The sequence below is a fragment of the Homo sapiens genome, chromosome 7, assembly GCF_000001405.40.
Source record: "Homo sapiens chromosome 7, GRCh38.p14 Primary Assembly".
In the NCBI taxonomy this organism is placed as follows: domain Eukaryota; kingdom Metazoa; phylum Chordata; class Mammalia; order Primates; family Hominidae; genus Homo; species Homo sapiens.
Genome location: NC_000007.14, coordinates 40,014,699 through 40,032,533, shown reverse-complemented (window position 1 = coordinate 40,032,533; position 17,835 = coordinate 40,014,699). Strand labels below are relative to the sequence as shown.

At 38.5% G+C, this 17,835-nt stretch overlaps 1 protein-coding gene across 5 annotated transcripts in view, besides 1 other annotated feature; it reads right to left on the bottom strand.

Moving 5' to 3' along the window:
- Positions 1-17,835, bottom strand: part of CDK13 (cyclin dependent kinase 13) — a 149,325-nt gene that overhangs the window by 67,047 nt on the left and 64,443 nt on the right. The gene's annotated exons all lie outside the window — the stretch shown is intronic.
- Positions 2,851-2,950: an enhancer, noted in NCBI's record as "active region_25889". NCBI's record gives its function as "activates an Ori minimal core promoter by ATAC-STARR-seq in GM12878 lymphoblastoid cells {active_cell/tissue: GM12878}" and the evidence as "EXISTENCE:reporter gene assay evidence [ECO:0000049][PMID:35858748]".

Here is a 17,835-nt window from a genome sequence, read left to right as displayed (position 1 = left end):
GACTTGAGTGTAAACTGCAAAACTAAATTTCTAGAACACAGAAGAAAATCTAGGTGATCTTGAGTTTGGCAATGACGTTTTATACAAGACACCAAAATCACAATATGTGAAAAGAAGAAACTAATATGTTGGATAGCGTTAAAATTTAAAACTTCTGCTCTTTGGCAGGGTGCAGTGGCTCATGCCTATAATCCCAGCACTTTGGGAGAACAAGGCATACGGATTGCTTGAACCCAGGAGTTCGAAACCAGTCTGGGCAACGTGGCAAAACCCTGTCTCTCCAAAAAATATTTTTAAAACCATACAAAAATTAGCCAGGTGCAGTGGCATGCGCCTTTGGTCCCAGCTACTCAGGAGGCTGAGGTGGGAAGACGGCTTGAGCCTGTGGGGAAGAGGCTGCAGTGAACCAAAGTCACACCACTGCACTCCAGGCCTGGGTGACAGAGCAGGACCTGAAACAAAACAAAACAACCGAAGAACAACTTCTGCTCTTCAAAAGACACTGCTAAGAAAACGAAAAGACAAGTCAGACTGGGAGATTGGTATCCACTAGGCATGGTGGCTCACGTCTATAATCCTAGCACTTTGGGAGGCCGAGGCAGGAGGATAGCTTGAAGGCAGGAGTTGGAGACTACCCTGGGCAACATAACAAGACCCCATTTCTCCCAATAATAATAATAATAATAATAATAATAATAATAATAACAATAATAATAATAAATTAGCCGAGCTTGGTGGTGAGTGCCTGCAGTCCCGGCTACTCAGGAGGCTGAGGCGGGAGGATCACTTGAGACTGGGAGTTTGAGGCTACAGTAAGCCATGATTGTGCCACCACACTCCAGCGTGGATGACAGAGCGAGATCCTGTCTCCAAAATAAAAGAAAAAAGAAAACAAACAGCCCAATTAAAAAGAAGGCAAAACATTTGAACAGACATCTCACCAAAGATGATATACCAATGGCAAATAAGCAAGTGAAAAAATGCTTAATATCATATTTCTTTTCTTTTTTTCGAGACAGAGTCTCACTCTGTTGCCCAGGATGGAGTGCAGTGGCATGATCTCGGCTCACTGCAGCCTCTGCCCCCTAGGTTGAAGCAAATCTCCTGCCTCAGCCTCCCAAGTAGCGGGGTCTGCAGGCACGTGCCACCACGTCAAGTTATTTTTTGTATTTTTAGTAGTGACCAGGTTTCACCATGTTGGCCGGGCTGGTCTTGAACTCCTGACCTCAAGTGATCCGCCCACCTTGGCCTCCCAAAGTGCTGGGATTACAGGCATGAGCCACCACACCCGGCCTTAACATCATATTTCATCAGAGAACGGCAAATTAAAACAACAATAAGATACCACTACATATCTATTAGAATTGAAAAATCCAAAACACTGACAACACCAAATGCTGGTAAAAATGTGAAACAACACAAACTTTCATTTATTGCTTATGCAGACACTACGGAAGACAGTTTGGCAGTTTCTTAAAAGGTAAACATTCTCTTACCATATATAATCCATCAATCCCTGGTGTTTACCCAAAGGAGCTGAAATTAACACAAAAACCTGCATACAAATATTTATTCATAACTGTCAAGACTTGGAAGTACCCAAAATATCCTTCAGTGGGTGAATGGTTCAACGAACTGTGGTACACCCATACAATGGAATATTTTGAGTGAAAAAATAACTGAGTTATAAAGCCACAGAAAGACAAGGAGGAACTTTAGGTGCATACTGTTAAGTAAAAGAAGCCAATCTGAATAGTCTACGTATTGTATGATTCCAACTACATGACATTCTGAAAAGGCAAAACTATGGATAAAGTTTAAAAAAAAAAATCAGTGACAGCATGCAGTAACTCACACCTGTAATCCCAGCACTTTGGGAGGCCAAGGCAGACAGATCACTTGAGGTCAGAAGTTGCATACCAGCCTGGCCAACACAGCAAAACCCTGTCTGTATTAAAAATACAAATTAGCCAGGCATGGTGGTGCGCACCTGTAATCCCAGCTGCTCAGGAGGCTGAGGTTGCAGTGAGCTGAAATGGCACAACTGCACTCCAGCCTGGGTGTCAGACCAAGACTCTTATCTCAAAAAAAAAAAAAAAAAAAAAAAAAAATCAGTGGTTGCCAGAGTTGCAGGGGTGGGGAAGGATGAACACTGGACTTTTAAAGCAGAAAAACTATTGTTTATTTTTGTGTCACTCTCAGATTCTCTGTCTTTGCATGCCAGACTGACTGAATGACTTTCTCTCTCTCTCTCTCTCTATATATATATATACACACACACATATACACACACACACACATATATATATATATAATTTTCTCTTCTAATTTCAATGGTGAGGTACTTCTGTTCTCTAGAAAAGATATAGTGTATAGTGGCTATAACTACTACTACTGAAATACTCTCCCCACATGGTTAGTACTTAAAAGAGATGCTACTAGTGCTTTTGAGACCGCTAAACATGGGTTAGAAAGAATCAGAGCAAAAGGGGTAGGGGATGCAATGAAAGACAGCCAGATAGAATCAAGAAATGACCCTGAGTGTCCTTATCCACTACTTCAGACAGTAAGAATCTAATCTAGGCCAGGCGCAGTGACTCATGCCTGCAATCCCAGTACTTTGGGAGGCCAAGGCAGGCGTATCACAACGTCAGGAGTTCGAGACCAGCCTGGCCAGCATAGTGAAACTCCGTCTCTACTAAAACTACAAAAAATTAGCAGGGCACGGTGGTGCAAGCCTGTAGTCCCAGCTACGCGGGAGGCTGAGGCAGGAGAATCGCTTGAACCCGGGAGGCAGAGGTTGTGGTGAGCCAAGATCACAGCACTGTACTCCAGCCTGGGCAACAGAGCGAGACGCTGTCTCAAAAAAAAGAAAAAAAAAAAGAATCTTTTCTCTCTCTCTCTCTCTCTCTCAGCCTCCCGAGAAACTGAAACTACAGGCGCGCGCCATCACGCCCAGCTAATTTTTGTATTTTTAGTAGAGACGGGGTTTCACCATGTTGGCCAGGATGATCTCAATCTCTTGACCTTGTGATCCGCCCACCTCAGCCTCCCAAAGTGCTGGGATTACGGGGGTGAGCCACTGCACCCGGACTAAATTTTTTTTTTTTCCACACAGTCTTGCTGTCACCTAGGCTGGTGTGCAGTGGCACGATCTCGGCTCACTGCAACTTCTGCCTCCCGGTTCAAGTGATTCTCCTGCCTCAGCCTCCCAAGTAGCTGGGGCTACAGGCGTCCATCACCACGATCGAATGATTTTTGTATTTTTTGGTAGAGATGGGGTTTCGCCATGTTGGCCAGGCTGGTCTTGAACTCCTGACCTCAAGTGATCCACTTGCCTCGGCCTCCCAAAGTGCTGGGATTACAGGTGTGAGCCACCACGCCCAGCCTTTTTCTTAATTTTTTAAAATTCTAGGCTACATGGTTCATCTGAGTTTTCTCAAATTGTTGCAAATCTCCAAAAAAAAAAATTTTCCAATATATTTATTTTAAAAATCTGCATATAAGTGAACCCATGCAGCTCAAACCCATGATGTTCAAGGGTCAACCATATATCTAATATATTTTTCCATTTCTGTTTTCCTTTTTTTGTAATATAGTATCAATGATATATACTAAGCTGTTAACACTGGATTTGGCAAAAAGTGGCAAAAGAAAATGGGAAATTAATTTTCTCTTTATGTATATTTGCATTATTATATATATTTATATATATTTGCATTACTGTGGTCATAGTAAACTCATTTATACTTCTTACAGAGGAACTTTATTTTGAAAAGAAAAATATTAAGGAATTTATAGTTAAAAAGTCCCTAAAAGACAAGAGATTTAAAATTCAATAAAAGTTGGAAACAATAAGTTCTAAACTCACAGGCAAAGCAAATAAGACTCAGTGAGACCACCATCAGGGGAATAAATAATTGTGTTATTTGCATTTCTGATCCTTTTCATTGAGTAGATAGTTAAGTATCTGCCCACCAACAGGTCTGTAAAAACCCTGGTAAAAAGTCAACTCAGGCTGGGCGTGGTGGCTCACACCTGTAATCCCAGCACTTTGGGAGGCCAAGGCGGGCAGATCATGAGGTCAAGAGATTAAGACCATCCTGGCCAACATGGTGAAACCTCGTCTCTACTAAAAATACAAAAAATTAGCCAAGCATGGTGGCAGGTGCCTGTCGTCCCAGCTACTCAGGAGGCTGAGGCAGCAGAATGACGTGAACCTGGGAGGCGGAGCTTGTAGTGAGCCTAGATCAGGCCACTGCACTCCAGCCTGGCGACAGAGTGAGACTCCATCTCAAAAAAAAAAAAAAAAAAAGTCAATTCAAGCATCTGAGATCCTGGGAATCACAAAGGATCTGACTTCTACCTGGTGAAAACCCCCACTCTGATCAACAAGAGAACGACCTTCAGCTGCTGGGGCATTCTAACACCATACTGAACCTCCCTAATCCATACTTATTTACTTGGAATGTCACTCTTGCAAGTGACAGAAAACCCAATGTACACTAATTTAAAAAAAAAAAAAAACAAGGTTAATTTCTCAATCTTCTGAGCTTCTACTGTAATTATGGAAAAAACAGAGCTATCAAAATCCTATGGCAAGGGCCTACGTTCCTTCTCTCCATTTCTCAGTGCTTGCTCTATTCTCAGAACCTATCCTGTCTCAAGATGATTACCCTCACACTCACACTGCACAGGTAAGAGGACCTCACTCTGTATAGGAAATCTCAGCGTTAAGTCTCAACCTCGTAAGAGAACTGTAAGGCTCCAACTGCCCAATCTGAGTCATGTACCCGTAGAAACAGAGCAGGCTTCACAGCTACACAGACTGAGAACAGAAAAAAGGTGAATCCTCAAAAAAAAAAAAAAAAAAAAAAAGCCCAAGGGTGTTATAGAAAGTAAGGTAAACCAGTGGTGGGTGGCCCCAAAACATGTCAAATACCATATCTCTCCCAAAGTAGGGCAAATACCAAGCTGTTTAGAACTAAGTTGTCCATTCGGAAGGCTTTAGTCTTAACATGTGGCTATTGCACAGTTGAAATGTGGTTAGACCCAGCTGAGATAAAATATGCTGTGAGTGTACAATACAAAGTGGATTGTGAAGATTTAGTACCAAAAAATCTAAAGTAGCTAAATAATTTTTATATCTGGGGTTAAATAAAAGTTTTTTTGTTTGTTTGTGTGTTTGTGTGAGACAGAGTCTCACTCTGTCATCTAGGCTGGAGTGCAGTGGCACAATCTCAGCTTACTGTAACCTTCGCCTGCTGGGCTCGAGACTCTCCTGCCTCAGCCTCCTGAGTAACTGGGATTACAGGCACACGCCACCACGTCCAGCAAATGTTCTGTATTTTTAGTAGAGACGGGGTTTCACCATGGTGGCCAGGCTGGTCTCGAACTCCTGACCTCCAGCGATCCACCCGCCTCGGGCTCCCAAAATGCTGGGATTACAAGCATGAGCCACTGCACTCAGCCTAATAAAAGATAATATTAAAATAATTTCGCTTGTCTTTTTAGTTTAAATGGGGTTTTTAGAACATTTAAAATTTACATACACGGTTAGCATTATTTATCAGAAAGGTGCGAATCATCTCCCTAACCAGCTAATAGCTTGAAGAGAAACCAGCTAAGTCTATATATAACTTGAAATTGTTTGTTGTTCAAAAAAGCTAATGAAATATCTTGAAGCAAACAGTTCCAGACTACAACTTTAACTACACCACAGTATTTTATTATTCGGATTATTTCCCAATTTTCTCCTAGTATTTTCATTTTAAAATGAAGGCTGGAAAGGAAATGAATGACAATCACCGCAAAGGTCTATGAAATCTGCTTAATCTACCATCTGCCTTTCCAACAGCATGTTTTGGCTATTTCAAGGAAAAACCAGAACAAAAACTGCTTTAAGTACCTTGTAGACAAAGTGAATAAATTTTATGGTTATTTATGAGGTTATTTAAGGAAAGAGTAAGAAAAACATATTCAGATTATTTTTAAATGGTAGATTGTTATTTATTTATTTCTGAGGCAGGGTCTCATTCTGTTGTCCAGGCTGGAGTGCAGTGCTGCAATCGCAGCTCACTAAAGCCTTGACCTCCTGGGCTCAAGCAAGGGATCCTCCTACCTCAGCCCCCCAAGTAGCTGGGACTACAGGCATGTGCCACCATGCTCAGCTAATGTATTTTATTGTTTTAGAGATAGGGTCTAGCTATGTTGTCCAGGCAGGTCTCAAACTCCTGAGCTCAAGAGATCCTCCTGCCTTGGCCTCCCAAAGTGCTGGGATTACAGGCATGTGCCACTGCATCTGGCCTAAATGGTATACTTACACAGAATTTATTTCTCTTTTAATTTCAACGGTGAGGTACTTTTGTTCTCTAGAAAAGATATAGTGGCCATAACCAATTCTACTGAAATACTCTCCCCACATGTTTAGTACTTAAAAGAGATGCCACTAGTGCTTTTGAGACTGCTAACCATGGGTTAGAAAGAATCAGAGCAAAAGGGGTCAGGGGTGCAAGGAAAGACAGCCAGATAGAACCAAGAACTAACCCTGAGTGTCCTTATCCACTACTTCACACAGTTAGAATCTAAACCTTGGCTTACTTTGGCAACAAAAAAAATTGCTTCACATAGAAAAATACCTGTTAGCAGAACTGGTATTAAAACTAAGAGAGAATAAAGCATTTGATTTTCTTAATTTTCTTCTCTAAGTGTTCATATAAGGCAAGAAGGGGGAAACAATACCAATAAAACAATAAATTCAATGGCACATTGGTTTAGATGAAACCAAAGTTTTCACTTATTACTAATTCCAAAATAAAATTTCACACATGACCAAAACATTATGGAAAGCAAGGTAGCACTATTTATAAAAATGTGTTTTAAAATTCTTCAATAAGATTATTCCTAATGGAAGAAAATCCCATCTCAAGAAAAAGGCTGTAAATGCCCAATCAACTTTTAATTACCAATTCTAGAAATTATCTGAATTAATATAGATCCTACCTGTTAAGACTAGTAAGTTGGCAAAGGTTGAAAGTAGATACAAGGAATAGCAATGGTGAAAGTGGATCAAAAAACTACAAGTTTACATTTACAAATATAATTTAAATAATTTTTAAATTATAATTTTATATAAACTCTACCAATTATTTTGGAATTTTTTCTTTGTGAGACTATTCAACAAAACAACAGAAGTTTATTGATTACAAGTACAAAGACAAGTAAGACTTGTTCACATCAGGAGGCTGGAAATTTATTAATACCACTGCAGATAAATATGTAAGTAAAGTAACTGTAGTATTATAATGCTTTGATAGGCTTAAAAATGCAGTGGTATCCCAAAAGATAAAACCTGATTCAGCTATCAGAAGAGATACTTAAGCTGAGATTTAAAGCAGGACTAAGAGCAAGCAGGCTGATAGGGATCAGGAGCATGAGTTTGAGATACCTTTGTGAAATATGAACATTGAGATACCTAGTGAATAGCTGTAGCTATCTGAAGCTAAGATCTGGGAATGTTTTCATAAGGTAATGGCACAGAGATATGATGATTAAAAAACCACAGAGCTACAGCTGGGTGCGGTGGCTCACACTTGTAATCCCAGCACTTTGGGAGGCCAAGGCGGGCGAATCACTTGAGGTCAGGAGTTAGAGACCAGCCTGGCTAACATGGTGAAACCCCATCTTTACTAAAAATACAAAAATTAGCCAGGCGTGCTGGCGCACACGTGTAATCCCAGCTACTCAGGAGGTAGACGCAGGGGAATCGCTCGAACCCGGGAGGCGGAGGCTGCAGTGAGCAGAGATCATGCCACTGCACTCCAGCCTGGACAAAAGAGCAAGACTCTGTCTCAGGAAAAAAAAAAAAAAAAAAAAAAAAAAAAAAAAACACAGAGCTACAGATATCTTGGAAGAAGACCACCACCAAGTAGACACCACTAAGAAAGACTATGAAGCAACAGCCAGAGAGAGAGAAAGCCAACCTGAATAGAACTCTTTCAGAAAAGGTAGAATTTTTAAGAGCAAGTCAACATAATAAACGCTGGCCAAGTCAACTAAGAAAACCTGAGAAATTGTTATTACTTTTAGCAAGAAATTACTACTGTCCTTATCTTTATAAAGTGGCGAGAAAATTCAGACCAATGGGTGAATGACAAAGCGAGGCAGTACAACTGGCATCTACTGATTACTCTTTCACAAAGTCTGACAACAAAAAGAAGTAGTGTACAGAGTAATGATCCATAAAGCAGACTCAAATTAGAGAAGGGTTTTTTTGTTTTAATACAGGAAATATGTGGGTAGGGTTAGCGCTGAAGGTAAGGAGTGAGTGGAGAGGGAAGCAGTTGAAAATACAGAAGAGGTAACACACACACGTCAAAGTACCTAGGAACTTGAGGGAATCTGCTTCAAGTAGGAAAGAGAAATATTACTTCCTCTGAGATAAATGAGTAAAACGGGTACAGAGTGAGGTAAATACATGGAAAGTTAAAAGCTGAGAGTGAGTTCTTGGCTGGTGTTACTTTCCCTGCAGAAAATGAAGCAATATCTTCTATTTAAGAGAAAAGAAATAGAAGTTGAACAAGAATCTTTGCTTTGCAGAATGGAAGACAGAGCTGACTAAGGACAAATAAAAGGATACTTTGGTAGCCCTGAAATCCTATCTTTGTTGACCATAAATCTGAGAAGAAAATAACCTAGATGGCTGTAATGATTCTTCTCCAGCAGTTTTAGTATTAAGAGATCAATCCAGGGCCGGGCGTGGTGGCTCACGCCTGTAATCTCAGCACTTTGGGAGGCCGAGGCGGGCGGATCACGAGACCATCCTGGCTAACATGGTGAAACCCCGTCTCTATTAAAAATACAAAAAATTAGCCAGGCGTGGTGGCGGGCGCCTGCAGTCCCAGCCACTCTGAAGGCTGAGGCAGGAGAATGGCGTGAACCCAGGAGGCGGAGCTTGCAGTGAGCCGAGATCATGCCACTGCACTCCAGCCCGGGTGACAGAGCGAGACTCAGTCTCAAAAAAAAAAAAAGAGATCAATCCAAGGTTGAAGGCTAGGGCAGGTGTGACACCAGAAGACAAAATATCAGAGGTATAAACTTCCCGATCAAAGTCTCAGAAAATCACCTATTTCAACCACGAATACCTTATGAAAATGTATAATCAGAAGTTTGCAGGGCACGGTGGCTCATGCCTATAATCGCAACACTTTGGGAGGACAAGGTGGGCAAATCACTTGAGGCCAGGAGTTCATCTCCTCTACCAGAAACACAAAAATTAGCTGGGCATGATGGCATACACCTGTAGTCCCAGTTACTCAGGAGACTGAGACATGAGAATCTCTTGAACCTGGGAGGCAGAGGTTGTGGTAAGCCGAGATAGCGTCACTGCACTGCAGCCTGGTCAACAGAGTAAGACTCTGTCTCAAAAAAAAAAAAAAAAAGTTAAGTATAAGTTGTACTAGAACTCTGCTTTCTCAAATTCAACAACAGAAATAACTAAGGAAGATAATTTCAGAAACAAGATTTAACAGTTCTGACTGTAAAACTAAGGGCTGCAACAATTGCATTGATCTTTACTTGAGAAAACAAGTAAAAGAATCAGACTATTTGCAAAGTTTTCAGGACATTCATATGAAATTCAAAACCATTTCTGCCTAACTGCAAAAAAAAAAAAAAGAAGACGAAAAGAAAAAAAACTTTCTTCCTATGGATCTACCTTTAATCTGTAATTGCTAGAAAACAATTCTAGTTTTAACAGGAGTAAGCAAATTAACCTAACATTAGAGTCCCAAGTCATACAGTATCGATGGAGGTAGATCAGGACATTCCTCTACTCTGCTTTGACCCTGGTTCAATTGGGACAGAGAGGAAAAAAAAAAAAAAAGATACTTCCTCTATTCCCCTAACCCCACCCCAGCCCCAATCCTCAGCCATTATGACACAACATAGGGTCTACCTTGTCTATTCCAAACACCTAGAACAATGTTTGGTATATAATTGGTGCTCAACAAATATTTGTTACAATATTTCTTTTAAAAGTATTCAGGGATCTTATTTCAACATTTCTATTTACCCCAAAGCCATGACCTGTAGAAGACATATGAAAAAACTATGCCTGAAGGTAGAAGGTGTAGTATGAGTATTGGAAGAGAAGGAACCTATACTATTCCATTTCTCGTTAGTATCAGTGGTAGGAAACCTAAAAATTGATACATGCACATTACAAGAAGTTTGTGGCTGATGGGGGCAGTAGCAATGAAAAGAAAAACTAGATCAATCCCTGAAATGGCAAAAGAGAAAGATCTGGTCACTGTGCTGACATGAAACCAAATATATATCTCAAACCCAGAGGTGTTTACACCAAAAAGAGGCCCTAAGAAAACTCTGGTCCTCAAACCTTCGAATGCTGAAAACTTAAGACCTCCTGGCTCTTTTCCATTCCAAATTTCAGGCCTTAAGGCCACTAGTGATAGTGAGCTGCCTAAGTAAATACTCGCCCTCAACGTGAAAGGTGGTAGGAATATAAAGAGTAAAAATCCATTTAATGACACTACAACTGGGAGTGGGAACAGGTGTGCATCTTGCCTCAAAATCTGAGTTCCAAACACATTTTCCCATAAATATACCTTGATAAATAATGAGATTCTCTACATCCTGTTAAAATCAAACCAACAGAAATAACTATCTGCTTGAAAAGAAAAATTTTAGTTGCTATTTTTCACATATTTAGTGCATGACAAAAATTCTAACTTTTCCTATACCCCTGTACCTCATTTCCTTCTCTATCCTTCATAGATTTGTTATGATGATTAACTGAATATTTCTAATTAGCTTAAAGCAGTGTCTAGCCCACAGTAAGCATTATACATATATATTTTAATTAAATAAAACACTACTTTTTTAGATTTGTTAAGTTTCTAACTAGTTTTCAAAAAAAAGTATGTTGGTTCTACTTTTTTAGTGATATTTTCAAAAATTTTTTGGAGTTTTATGTGTAAGAAAATTATCAAGTTAAAACAGACAAATTATTATTTCCTTTTTTTTTGAGACAGTCTCTATCACCCAGGCTGGAGTGCGGTGGCAGGATCTCAGCTCACCGCAACCTACACCTCTTGGATTCAAGCGATTCTCCTGCCTCAGCCTCCCAAGTAGCTGGAACTACAGGCATGCAACACGAAGCCGGCTAATTTTTGTATTTTTAGTAGAGATGGGGTTTCACCATGTTGGTCAGGCTGGTCTCAAACTCCTGACCTCAAGTGATCCACCCGCCTCAGCCTCCCAAAGTGCTGGGATTACAGGCGTGAGCCACCGCGCCCAGTCAAAATTACTATTTCTAAGAAAGCGTATGAACTGATCTTTGGGAATTTCAGACTTAAAACTTTATGTGTGTGTGTGTGTGTGTGTGTGTGTGTATATATATATATATATATACGTTTGTTTGCTCTGAGATGGAATCTCGCTCTGTCACCAGGCTGGAGTGCAGTGGCGCAATCTCAGCTCACTGCAACCTCTGCCTCCTGCGTTCAAGTGATTCTCCTGCCTCAGCCTCCCAAGTAGCTGGGACTACAGGCACCCACTACCACGCCCTGCTAATTTTTGTATTTTTGGTAGAGATGGTGTTTCACCATGTTGGCCAGGATGGTCTCCATCTCTTGACCTTGTGATCCACCCACCTTGGCCTCCCAAAGTGCTGGGATTATGGGCGTGAGCCACCGTGCCCACCCCTACTTTTTAATATATTTAAAGCAATCTATTCCTTAAAAGCTACCTTGCTTTTTAAAAATTTTACCTACAAAGCATTTCACCTATAGCTATAATATTACCATTAAAAGCATATTTATGTTTAAGCAACTTTTATTTAGCTTAATTATGAATATTCCATTGAACTGCCATCATTTAATGTAGTGTCTGTTATAAGAGTTGGAAATGTTGCAAGAAGTATGTGTAACCTCAATAACATTCTAAGACAAATGCAATCACTGTTAACATTTTAGGAGTAGCATGCCAGTTTAGCCTTTCTTAGGCAACGAAATACATTGGGGGAACAGCAGGAGGGAAAGGAAGAGCTTCAAAACTGAAGAGTAAAGGAGTATGAAAGTAGCAATAAAGGAATCCTGGTTGGTAAAGTGGCTGCTGCATTAGTAACATGAGGCGATAAAACAATTTGGGCCGGGTGCAGCGGCTCACACCTGTAATCCCAGAGCTTTGCCGGGAGGAGGTGGGAGGATTGTTTGAGCCTAGGAGTTGGAGACCAGTTTGGGCAACACAGAGAAACCCCATCTCTACTGAAAATACAAAAAGTAGCTGGGCATGGTGGCATGCACCTGTAGTCCCAGCTACTTGGGAAGCTGAAGCAGGAGAATCCCTTGAGCCCAGGAGCTGAAGGTTGCAGTGAGCCAAGATTGTGACACTGCACTCCAGCCTAGGTGACAGAGCAAGACCCGGTCTCAAAAAAAATAAAATAAAGTTGAAAGTTTATTATTTATATTAAATCTAGAACATATTGTAAAATTCCAATTCACTTTCAGAAAACACATTTAAAGCCAGAGACAAATAACAAAAAAACTTCATGAAAGTGCAAAAATCATTCAGTTCCTGTTATCCAAATTCTTGAGCGTGAGAATGAAGCATCATGCATTATGGCATACACTGAGTTTCTGATAACATCTTTATGCCACTAAATCAACCAACCCTAAACCCTGCCCTTATCTCTGGGTCTCTTCTCATGTAAGCTAACAGATTCCCATACGGTTTAAAAGTCTCTCAGTTAGGTATTTTGTCATTCTGCCAAAATCAACTTGTTACAGTTTGAAGGTTAATTTCATGTGCCAACTTGGCTAGGCTATAGTGCCCAGTTGCTTGGTCAAAACCAGCCTACATGTTGCTATGAAGGTATTTCTTACATACGATTAACGTTTAAATCAGAAGACTTTGGGGAGAAAAGATGAACCCTCACAATGTGGGTGGGCTTCATCCAAGCAGTTGAGGCCTTGAAAGAAAAGAATGAGGTCCACCAAAAAGGAAAAAATTCTGATTCCAGATTACCTTCAGACTCAAGACTGCTGGCCACCCCTACAAATTTCAGACTTGCCAGCCCCTACAATTGTGTGACCTAATTCCTTAATATAAATCTCTCTACACATATGTAAATATACATCCTGTTGGTTCTTTCTTAAAGGAATAAACTGAATTTTAGCTTAAGTTTGTTACATTTTAACAGAAAATTTTCTTTTACAGCTTCGATGTGTTAAGTGACAATAATAAGCTGCACATATTTAGAGGGAATGACTTAAATAGTTTTCACATAGGTATGTACCCATTAAGACTGTGGCTACTATTAAGACAGTAAATATATCCACCACCCTCAAAAGTTTTCTTGTGTTCCTGGAATAAATTTTAACAAAACTTTGGATGAAACTTTACCTAGTCCTTTGTAAACAGTATGAATAACCTTCCTTATAATTTAACTTTTACACAATGTATATAACCACATAGCATTCTCTAGTAATAATATACCATAGTTCTGTTCAACAATTCTCTATTGTTGAGATATTTATGTTGATGCTAACGTTTTGTTATTATAAACAATACAATGAAGAACATTCTTGTAGCTATATCTAGTCCTGATTACTTTAAAATTTTTTTTCAATTTTAATAGCTTTAGGGGTACAAGTGGTTTTTGGTTACATGGATGAATTGTATAGCGGTGAAGTATGAAATTTTAGTGCCCCTGTCACCCGAGTAGTGTACACTGTACCCTGCCTCCCACTCTCCCCCTTTCTGAGTCTCCAGCATCCTTTATACCACTTTGAATGTATTTGCATACCCACAGCTTAGCTCCCACTTATAAGTGAGAACATAACAGTATTTGGTTTTCCATTCCTGAGTTACTTCACTTAGAATAATGGCCTCCAGTTCCATCCAAGTTGCAGCAAAAGACACTCTCATTCTTTTTTATGGCTGAGTAGTATTCCATGGTGTATACAAACCACATTTTCTTTATCCACTCCTCAGCTGATGGGCACTTAGGTTGGTTCCATATCTTTGCAATTGTGAATTGTGCTGCAATAAACACACACATGCACGTGTCTTTCTGATATAATGACTTGTTTTCTCTTGGGTATGACTACTTCCCTTATGTTTCCAAAAATACAATTGCAGAATTAAAGAACACATTATATTTTAAGAAATAATGATTATTATAATAGTAACATAAAATGTTTATCTAGTATTTAGCACACACCAGGTTCTATACTACATCCCTAATTACTCTCTAACAATTTTTACTCTCCAGCATTACATTAATATGCTTGTCAATGATCCCACACCCTGACCAATTTTTTAAAAAGCATTCTTCCTCCCACACTAACATCAATGTAATTCCAGCCAAATTTCCATCAGTATGTTTTCAGACCTCATATCCATCTAAAATGCACAAAAATAAAATCTTTTTTTTTAAAGGGGAAAGAGAAGGCGATCTTTATCCACCAGAAACTAAAATATGCTATAGGGTGGTGATAATTAAAGCGATATAATATGGTGGCAGGACATACAAAAACATCAGTGAAACAGGAATCCTCAGAACATGTGGGAATTTAAAAAAAAAAAAGAACGTGGGAATTTCATACAGGCTAAAGATGGCAGAACACTGTAAGATAAAAATAAAAGATTAAGATACCTGAATACTTTTTCAAACTATAATAGAATTTTTTTTAATATAAAAAAATTCCTATTATTCTGCCAAGGATTCAGCCTTCCTAAGCATGAGAGAAACCACCCTTCCAAAATTAAAAAAAAGCCACCAAACAGACAGATGTGACCATATTTAAAGATTTAAAATAACAAAGAAAAACAAAGGGCAAGCAATATAAATGGGAAAATTATCTGACATATGAAACACATAAAACATTAATATCTGTATTTTAGTATCTCTCTAAATCAGTAGAAAATGTCAAAGGAACAGGCAAATTCACAGAAGAAATGGCAAAAATTATGGAAAAAAAGGTTTGACTTCACAAATAGGGAAAAAGGTATTACTTTCTCTTATCAGATGGGCAAAACCATAAAATCAATAATATACTGTGCTTCAGTAAAGTACCTATTCCCACAAAATTTTATTAGAATGTAAAAAAATTGAATAAACTTCCTTATAAGTTAATTTAGCTATAACTATTAATATACAAAAGAATTGTATCATCTAACTAGCAATTCCAGTTTTATGAATGTATCCTATGAAAGTCCCAAACAAATACACATAGATTTACACTTAACGATGTTTGGTAAAGCACTGTTGGAAGACGCTAAAAACCAATAACCGAAATATTCATCTATATGGGCAAGCCTAATAAAATACAAAATATATCCAAATTATAGAATTACAGAATACTATCTCTGTTTTTTAAGTGGCTATATCATGGCATATAAAAATATCTATTTTGCAGAATATTGCATATTAATGCCTCAATTTTGAAAAAATTCATGAATAGAATAATGCACATGCTTGTTTTGCACAAAAAATTTGTGGAAACTGAAAAAACGTGACTCTGGTGTCTCTTCATCACTGGCCATGGTATTCTTATCTGCTACATATGCATATTCCCATTCTATCCATTTATGCTTTTTATTTCCATATTTCCATTGTTTTAACTAAACCAAATATAATTTTATAATTCTAAAAAAACAAACGAGAAAAATTTTTTAAAACACTACCACTTTTGAGAGATAAAAAGTTTGTATCGTTTAAATTACATTTCTTTTATTATAGTGAGGCTGGATATTTTTTCTTTTTTCTTACATTTACCAGAAATTATTTTCTTCTTTTTGCCCCACCTTATGTACTTTTATAGTAAATCTTTAATGAGGTATAAAGAAGAACTATGCCTCCTTGTTTAAAAGTTATGCCACAGTTCATATTTCTCAACATCAGATGATGTATTTCTATAAATACATAACACCTGGTACTCCCAAACTTTAACATCTGACTTTCAACAAAATTCTAAACACAAACCAAAACAAGTAAGAAACCTGGAAGTTTTATATGGTAACTGTATGATGGATCAACTACTATATAAAGTCTCTCCTATCACATGGCATAGTAACAGTGACATCTAGTACATATAGGTAGACTCTAATGGTAATCATGAAGAATGGTGAAAATACTTCACATATTGTCTCACTTAGGTCTCACAACAACCCAAAAAGTATAATGATCTTCTTGTAACACTCAAGCTCAGAGACAATAAATAATTTGCCCACGTTGACATAACTACTGTGTGGCAAAAGTAAAACAATCCCCCAGCCTCATTGTCCTCTACTTTTCACAATGAAGAAACAGCAGTTAATCATTAGCTTCCTCCAAGAGGTACCAAAAACTGCACAGCAACGTAACAAGTATCTTTTAGCTTAATGTGCTCTAAATGGCACTCTGCCACTTCCACCCTTCACTGCTGGCATTTCTCCCAGTGCAGAATTTAACTGCAGAATTCTATCTGTTCTTGTTGGCTATAGTTATCTCAATCTCAACAGTATCTGCTCCTTAACTTCCTCTTCTACCCTCCATTTCTAACCTGTACCAAGGCATCTGCTCTTTGCATTTCCCTTATTATCTGCTCTTGAGTTTCACTTGTCAGTCTTCCTTTCACTGCCAGTTTGGGTTTGATCGCAACCAATGACTCGTTTTTTTCTTTCTGGTGGGTTAACCAATTACTCACAGCTAGTCAGATGTGACTGAAACTCTTCACAATTAGAGACTGCTTCTAAGCTTTCAGAAAAAAATTTTTTTTTTAAACTTCTGGATCAACTCCATTCCTGAGGTCTGATCTCCACATAATAAAATTTCACTAGAGGACTAAAACTAAAATTTTTATTTCTTCCAAAATTCCATCCTACCTGCCTAATAATTATTGTATTAATAATCTAATTCTGCCCTCAAAATCAATCTACTACCAAGCTAAACTTTACTGATGTGTGCTTACTATGTGCCATATTCTATGTGAAGTCCTTCACATGCACTATATCACTAAATAATTACAACAAACCTGTGAGTTAGTCATTATTACCCCATTTTGCAGATGAAGAAAACAGAGTATAGGATTCTAATTCATGCTCTTAACCCATTATACATATTACCATCACTATTACCTTATACCACCTGTTCCAAGAGCACATATTTCTAGTGCTCTACTGCACTGTTCAGGAAATAGTGACATGGGAAATGTACTCCCCACCCTACTTTCCATTCCTATCCAACTCCCTTCCCTACTTGCCCACAGTTTCCCTTTCCATTAAACTCCTAACAGTCCCTTTGCCATGTGTCATCTCCTGATGTGCATCTAACACATTCTGTTCTACGTTCTTTAAATTTCAAAACGTGGTACTAACTCTACATTTCCTTGAAACCCAGAGAAGAAAGTCATTCCAAATTAAGATTTGAGCTTTTTTCCTTTAAGACATTATTTGGTGTATCTTAACTAAAACACATTCCTCTATCATCTTCTACTAATTATTTGATTATTCTGAAACAGACTACAATCTATTTTATACATATTTTTCTTCTCAATTCAACTCACCCCTCAAAAAAATTTATTGATCACTAACATAAGAAAAACACTGAGAGCCAGAAAACCAGATGCCTGAACAGCTTTCAATGTTACTCAAAAGATGAACATTATTACTATGTAAAACATACAATTATAATCAATTAAGAAAAACACTAATACCCTAGTTAAAAAAGAGCAAAGGACCTAAACATGAAAATGTATGGTTAAAGAAATATAAATGGGCTGGACACAGTGGCACACGCCTGTAATCCCAGCATTTTGGGAGGCCAAGGCAGGT